This window comes from Homo sapiens, chromosome 3 (genome assembly GCF_000001405.40).
Source record: "Homo sapiens chromosome 3, GRCh38.p14 Primary Assembly".
Taxonomy (NCBI): domain Eukaryota; kingdom Metazoa; phylum Chordata; class Mammalia; order Primates; family Hominidae; genus Homo; species Homo sapiens.
In genome coordinates, this window is record NC_000003.12 from 109,359,342 (window position 1) to 109,367,633 (window position 8,292).

General features: G+C 43.0%; 1 annotated feature.

Annotated features, from left to right (window-relative positions):
- Window positions 7,573-7,740: a silencer, noted in NCBI's record as "fragment chr3:109085761-109085928 (GRCh37/hg19 assembly coordinates)". NCBI's record gives its function as "represses an EF-1alpha promoter that drives an FKBP-Casp9 reporter gene in an ReSE screen in K562 erythroleukemia cells {active_cell/tissue: K562}" and the evidence as "EXISTENCE:reporter gene assay evidence [ECO:0000049][PMID:32094911]".

Below are 8,292 nucleotides of genomic sequence, written 5' to 3' on the forward strand. Positions count from 1 at the left end.
AGGATGTTGTTGTTCTTAACCTTATTCTTTTTTTTTTTTTTTTTTTGAGATGGAGTTTCACTCTGTCATCTGGGCTGGAGTGCAGTGGTACAGTCTCAGCTCACTGCAACACTGCAACCTCCACCTCCCAGTTTCAAGCAATTCTCCTACCTCAGTCTCCCGAGTACCTGGGATTATGGGCACCTGCTATCATGCCTGGCTAATTTTTGTATTTTCAGTAGAGACAGGGTTTCACCATGATGGCCAGGCTGGTCTCAGGCTCCTGACTTCAAGAGATCCTCCCACCTCGGTCTCCCAAAGTGCTAGGATTACAGGTGTGAGCCACCACACCCGGCCTAGGAACCTTATTCTTTTTTTTTGATACAGAGTCTTATTCTGTTGCCCCGGCTGGAATGCAGTGGCACAATCTCAACTCTCCGCAACCTCTGCCTCCCGGGTCTGAGTGATCCTCCTGCCTCAGCCTCCCACGTAGCTGGGATTACAGGCACGTGCCACCATGCCCAGCTAATTGTTGTATTTTTAGTAGAGACGAGGTTTCACCATATTGGCCAGGCTGGTCTCGAACTCCTGACCTCAGGTGATCCGCTTGCCTCAGGCTCCCAATGTGCTGGGATTGCAGGCGTGAGCCACCTCTTCCGCCAGTAACCTTATTCTTAAAACCTTCATCTAGGCCAGGCGAGTTGGCTCATGCCTGTAATCCTAGCACTTTGGGAGGCAGTGGCGGGCAGATCACAAGGTCAGGAGTTCGAGACCAGCCTGGCCAATATGGTAAAACCCCATCTCTACTAAAAATAAAAAAAAAATTGCTGGGCATGGTGGCAGGCACCTGTAGTCTCAGCTACTCAGGAGGCTGAGGCAGGAGAATCGCTTGAACCCAGGAAGTGGAGGTTGCAGTGAGCTGAGATCATGCCACTGCACACTGCACTCCAGCCTGGGTGACAGAGCGAGACTCCGTCTCAAACAAAAAACAAAAAACAACCTTCATCTAATTGGATAAGGCTCACCCATATCATGGAGAGTAATCTCCGTTATTTAAAATCAATTGACTGTAAATGTTAATCACTTCTACCTAATAACTTCATACCAACATCTAGACTAGTATGTAACCAAGCTGGGCACATAGCCTAGCCAAGTTGACACATAAAATTAACCATACCATTCCATTAGGTGATGGGGATAAAGCAGTGCAAAGATAATAAGGTCTTTGTTTTTGTTTTTTTTTTGAGACGGAGTCTTACTCTGTCGCCCAGGCTGGAGTGCAGTGGCATGATCTTGGCTCACTGCAACCTCCGCCTCCCAGGTTCAAGCGATTCTACTGCCTCAGCCTCCCAAGTAGCTGGAATTACAGGCACCTGCCTTGAGTCCCAGCTAATTTTTGTATCTTTAATAGAGACAGGGTTTCACCATCTTGGCCAGGTTGGTCTTGAACTCCTGACCTCAGATGATCCGAAGAGAGGGTTTCACCATGTTGGCCAAGCTGGTCTCGAACTCCTGACCTCAGATGATCCACCTGCTTTGGCCTCCCAAAGTGCTTGGATTACAGGCATGACCCACCATGCCTGGCTGCAGTTTTTATTTTATAGATGAGGAAACTGAAATTTAGAAAGAAAAATACCCTGTCCTGAGGCACACTGCCAAGAAATAAAAAAGCTAGGATTCAAACATAGATTTTGGACTATGAGACTGTTAGTCACTCAGTAATATTGTTCTGATAGATATACTTGTTCTGATTTTATACTTTTGCAGATAAGAACATAAAAGCTTAGAGAAGTAAAAGTACATATTCAGAGACACATCATATATGTTCAAGCCAGGATTTGAAGACATGTTTGCATGACTTCAAAAATCATACTTTTTCTTCTGTACACTATGTTAACTACTGGACTACCCTAATAGACTACCCTAAACTACTTCTGGATCTAAAATACAACAATCAACAAAACCATAGATACGAAAATTGAAAATTATCTGCAGCTCATCCTAGTCTTCCATATCCAATAATGCCATTAATTCTTTTTTTCTTTTTCTTTTTGTTTTTTGAGACAGAGTCTCGCTCTGTCACTCAGGCTGGACTGCAGTGGCAAGGTCTCTGCTCACTACAAACTCTGCCTCCCAGGTTCATGCAATTCTCCTGTCTCAGCCTCCGGAGTAGCTGGGATTACAGGCATGCGCCACCACACTGGCTTATTTTTGTATTTTTTAAGTAGAGATGGGGTTTTGCCATGTTGGCCAGGCTGGTCTTGAACTCCTGACCTCAGCAGACCTGCCAGCCTTGGCCTCCCATGCATATATTGCATAATGCTTCTATTGAACCCATCACTCAAATAGTGAACATAGTATTTTTTTTTTTTTTTTTTTGAGACTAAGTCTCGCTGGAGTGCAATGGCGCCATCTCGGCTCACTGCAACCTCCCGGGTTCAAGAGATTCTCCTGCCTCAGCTTCCCAAGCAGCTGGGATTACTGGCACCTGCCACCACACCTGCCTAATTTTTGTATTTTTAGTAGAGACGGGGTTTCACCATGTTGGCCTGGTCTCCAACACCTGACCTCATGATCCGCCCTCCTCGGCCTCCTAAAGTGCTGGGATTACAGGCGTGAGCAACCATGCCTGGCTGAACATAGTATTCTCTCTTTTTTTTTTTTTTTTGAGACGGAGTCTCGCTCTGTCGCCCAGGCTGGAGTGCAGTGGCGCTATCTCTGCTCACTACAAGTTCCGCCTCCCGGGTTCATGCCATTCTCCTGCCTCAGCCTCCCAAGTAGCTGGGACTACAGGCACCTGCAACCACGCCCGGCTGATTTTTTGTATTGTTAGTAGACACGAGGTTTCACCGTGTTAGCCAGGACGATCTCGATCTCCTGACCTCGTGATCCACCCGCCTCCGCCTTCCAAAGTGCTGGGATTACAGGCGTGAGCCACCGCGCCTGGCTTGAACATAGTATTCTTAAATATGTTTCTTCTTTTCTTTTCCTTAATTCAGACTGTTATTTAACCAGTTTTCTTCTGAATTACTGTTACCACTTACTGACTGATAAGGTCTCCCACCTTCCCCTTACCCAGTCCTCACTATTACCCCTAGTTGAGCCGTCCGAAACACAGATTTTTAGCTAGTCCTTGGCTAGAAAATCTTTATCGTTCTCTATTTTCTATAGAATTAAGTAGACTCCTTCCCTGTCTGTCAAGGTTTTACATAATCTGTTCTCAAACTGCTTCCATTTGCCACTACACCTTTCAAGGAACACAGTAAATATCTTTTATTCAGCATAGAGAGTGTATTTATTTTTATTTATTTATTTTGAGGCAGAGTCTCACTCTGTCCCCCAGGCTGGAGTGCAGTGGCACGATCTTGGCTCACTGTAACCTCGGACTCCTGGGTTCAAGCGATTCTCCTACCTCAGCCTCCTGAGCAGCTGGGACTATAGACGCCCACCAGCACCCCTGGCTAATTTTTGTATTTTTAATAGACACGGGGTTTCAACATGTTGGCCAAGATGGTCTCCATCTCCTGACCTTGTGATCCACCTGCCTCGGCCTCCTAAAGTGCTGGGATTACAGGCATGAGCCACCGTGCCCAGCTGTATTTTTAACTTTTATTTTGAAACAATTTCAAGCTCATAGAAATATTGCAAGAATAGTACAAATAACCACTGTGTACCCTTTAGTCAGATTGACTAATGTTTAACATTTTGCTATATTTGCTTTCTCTCTCTCTTTTTATACATGCACGCACACAGACACACACAAAATGTTCTTTCTTTTTAAAAAACAGGATCTTACTTTGTTGCCCAGGTTGTAATAGAGTGGCATGATCATAGCTCACTGCAGCCTCAATTTCCTGGGCTCAGGCGATTGTCTCACCTTAGCCTCCAGAGTAGCTGGAACTACGGTCACTCACTACCATGCCAGGCTAATTTTTTCTAGAGATCGGGTTCCACCATGTTGACCAGGCTGGTCTCAAACTCCTGAGCTCAAGCTATCCACTTGTCTTGGCCTCCCGAAATGCTGGGATTACACGTGTGAGCCACTGCGCCTGGGCACAAATTTCCTAATCATTTGAGAATAGGATGCATAGATCATGTTTCTTTCTTCCTCAGCACTTCATTATTTCCTAAGAAGAAGGACGTTTTCTCATGTAACCACGTATCAACCACATATGGTATAGTTATCAAATTCAAATATTGATACAATATTTTTGTCTTATCTACAGTCCCTATTTCAATTTTGTAAATTGTCCCAGTAATGTCCTTTACTGCAATTTTAAAAATAAAGTTTAAGGCCAAGCACGGTGGCTCATGCCTTTAATCTCAGCACTTAGGGAGGCCAAGTCAGGAGGATGGCTTGAGGCCAGGAGTTCAAGACCATCCTAGGCAGCATAGTGAGACCTTGTCTCTACAAAAATACATAAATGAAGTTTAAGGGGAAGACATTCTATGACTCAGAATGAGGTGTTGCCTGATGAAAGATAAAAAATCAAGGATTTGGTCTAGGATTATGTGTTGTACTGATTGCCACATCTCTTCAGTCTTCCTTAATCTGCAACAGATTGTCAGTCTTTTTTGTTTGTTTTCTTTTTCATGACATTGACATTTTTGAAGAACATAGTTTAGTTATTAGAATGACTTAATCTGGGATTGTCTGATATTTCTTCACAATTAGATTGACTGAAGGTTTTATTGTGTACAGAGAGGGGGAGGGGGCTCAGTTCTTGGCAATTTCCTCATAGCAGCCAGACTGGGTCGCAGCTCCTCCTGCTGCTTCTTGACATGGACGTGTGTTCCCACCCTTTTCTTGGTGAACTTGAGGGCCCGTTTGGTGCTTGGAGTCCTTGAGCAGCTCCATGGCATGCAGCTCGTAAGGGTGAGAGCCACACACCTCTTGGATCATGTCCCTTGGATTTTGTATGCTTGGTGAGGCGCCTGCAGTGGTGGCTGTGCTGTGCCCCGCTCACCTTCTTGGTTGCCCTGGTGGAGGCCATGGGCCATAGGGTAGCGCAAAGTCCTGGCTGCTGCTCTCCAGGGTAGCTGTGGGAAGGGCCCAGCCACTTGGAACTCTAGGATTCACAGCTAGATCTAAACTATGCATTTTTGTCTGGAATACTATGCAAGTGATGTGCTAGTAATAATAACCATGGTTCCATAGCTGTAATATGACTATATGCATAACACAATAAGCCAGAGTGCTTCATCTTTTAGTCTCCCACATCGCAGCTTATCCAAGTTGAATCCTATTCGTTTTTAAAGATCAGCCCAAGTTCTACCTATTAGCCAGCTCCCTGCAGCCAACACAGAGTTCTCCTTTTCTGAAGTACTCAATCACTTGTCTAATTCACACATTTAGCTACTGCTTAATAATAGGTCTCTGTGCATTGCTTATTATCATTGCATAAGTAGACATCTCATTTTCCTGTCCTTGAAGGCAGAAGCTCTGTTTATTTTATTCTCTTGAATACTCCATAGTTCCCACTCAGTGTAAATTTTCAGTAACTACAAGCTGTTGCTTAAGAGAGCTTAATGATTTGGGTTTCTCTGATAGTGGTGATTAGTGTAGAAGTGTGGTTGAAACAACAGGATCACCTGTGCACATCCATAGTGAATCTCTCCTTGGCTCACACAGGATTTTTAATCTCTGTTTTTTTTTTTTTGGAGACAGTCTCGCTCTGTTGCGCAGGCTGCAGTGCAGTGGCACAATCTGGGCTCACTGCAACCTCTGCCTCCCAGGTTCAAGCGATTCTACTGCCTCAGCCTCCCAAGTAGCTGGGATTACAGGCACACGCCACCATGCCTGTTAGAAACTAAGACACAAACACATACCTTAGCCTGGCTAATTTTTTGTATTTTAGTAGAGATGGGGTTTCACTGTGTTGCCCAGGCTGGTCTCCACCTCTGGAGCTCAGACGATCTGCCTGCTTCGGCCTCCCAAAGTTCTGGGATTACAGGAGTGAGCCATCGTGCCTGGCTAATCTCTATTATTAAGAAAATTCTAATGAATCCATATACGGCCGTGCATTGCTTAATGACAGGGATACATTCTGAGAAATGCATCGTTAACGTGATTTTTGTCATAGGAACATCATAGAGTGTACTTACATAAACCTGGATGATATAGCCTACTACACACCTAGGCTGTGTGGCATAGCCTATTTACAAACCTGTACAGCATGTTACTGTACTGAATACTGTAAGCAGTTGTAACACAATGGTAAGTATTTCTGTATTTAAACACATGTAAACTTAGAAAAGATACAGTAAAAACATGGTATACAAGATAAAAAATGGTATGCCTATATAGGGCACTTACCCTGAATGAAGTCTGCAGGACTGAAAGTTGTTTTGGGTGACTCAGTGAATGAGTGGTGAGTGAATGTAAAGGTCTAGGACATTACTGAACACTACTGTAGACTTTATAAACACTACACTTAAGCTTCACTAAATTTATTAAAAATTTTTTTCTTTCTTTAATAGTAAGTTAACCGTAGCTTACTAACTTTTTTTTTCTTTATATTTTTTGAGACAGGGTCTCACTCTGTCACCCAGGCTGGAGTGCAGTGGCACCATCTCGGCTCACTGAAACCTCTGCCTCCTGGATCAAAGCGATTCTCATGCTTCAACCTCCCAAGTAGTTGAGATTACTGTAACTTTTTTACTTTATAAACTTTTAAATTTTTAAAAACTTTTTGACTCTTTTGTAATAACAACTTAAAACACACATTGTACATCGTACAAAAATGTCTTTATATTTTTTCGTATGCTTTTTCTATTTTTAAAATTGTTTATTTTTACAGTTTTAAACTTTTATTTTAAAAACTAAGACAAAAACACATACCTTAGGCAAGGCCTACACAGGGTCAGGATCATCAACATCACTGTCTTCCACCTCCACATCTTGTCCCATTGGAAGGTCTTCAGAGGCAATAATATGCATGGATCTGTCATTTCCTATAATAAAAATTTCTTCTGGAATATCTCCTAAAGAACTTGCCTTAGGCTGTTTTGCAGTTAGCACTTTTTTTTTTAATAGAGTACACTCTAAAATAATAATAAAAAGTATAGTATAGTAAATACATAAACCAGTAATGTCATTTATTATTATCAAGTAGTATGTACTGTACATAATTGTACATTCTATATTTTTATAGGACTAGCAGTTCAGTAGGTTTTTTTATACCAACATCACCAGAAACACATGCACTATAACATTATGATGGCTACAATGTTACTGGACAATAGGATTTTTCAGCTCCTTTGTAATCTATTTTTATCTATCTATCTATCTATCTATCTACTTATTTTTGAGAGAGAGTCTCCCTCCGTCACCCAGGCTGGAGTGCAGGTGACGCGATCTCTGCTCACTGCAACCTCCACGTCCCAGGTTCAAGTGATTCTCCTGCCTCAGCCTCTGGAGTAGCTGGGATTACAGGCATGCACCACCATGCCTGGCTAATTTTGTATTTTTACTACAGACAGGGTTTCACCATGTTGGCCAGGCTGGTCTCAAACGCCTGACCTCAGGTGATCCACCCACCTATGCCTCCCAAAGTGCTGGGATTACAGGTGTGAGCCACTGCACCTGGCCGCATTTCCTTATTTATTATTATTATTACTCTGTTTGTAAGAAAAACAGGTAATATAAGAGCCAATATATTTTTATATTTAAAAAAATTAAGCCAGGGGCAGTGGCTCACGCCTGTAATCCCAGCACTTTGGGAGGCTGAGGTGGGCAGAGTACCTGAGGTCGGGAGTACAAGACCAGCCTGACTACCATGGAGAAACCCTGTCTCTACTAAAAATACAAAAAACAAAACAGCTGGGCATGATGGCGGGCACCTGTAATCTCAGCTATTCAGGAGGCTGAGGCAGGAGAACTGCTTGAACCGGGGAGGCAGAGGTTGCAGTGAGCCGAGATAGCGCCATTGCACTCCAACCTGTGTAACAGAGTGAAACGCCATCTAAAAAAAAAAAAAAAATTAAAGTGGTAACATATATTCATTCACATTGTAACAAAATTCAATCTGCACAAAAAGATAAACAGTGAATATCAGTCTCATTTTTATTCCTGACCTTAATCCCCCAGTTGCTCCTCAAAGGCCACTACCGTTGTCAGTTTCTTGTACATTCTTCCAAATATGTTCTGTGTACCGTCTGTGCTTCAGTTTACTCATCTGCAAATAGGGATAGTAATAGTGCCTGTCTCACTGGGCTCTTGTGAGGATTAAATGCATTAGCATGTACATAAGCACAACGGTGCCAGTTACAAAGGTGCCATGTACAAACCACTTGATCATGTTATATAATCAT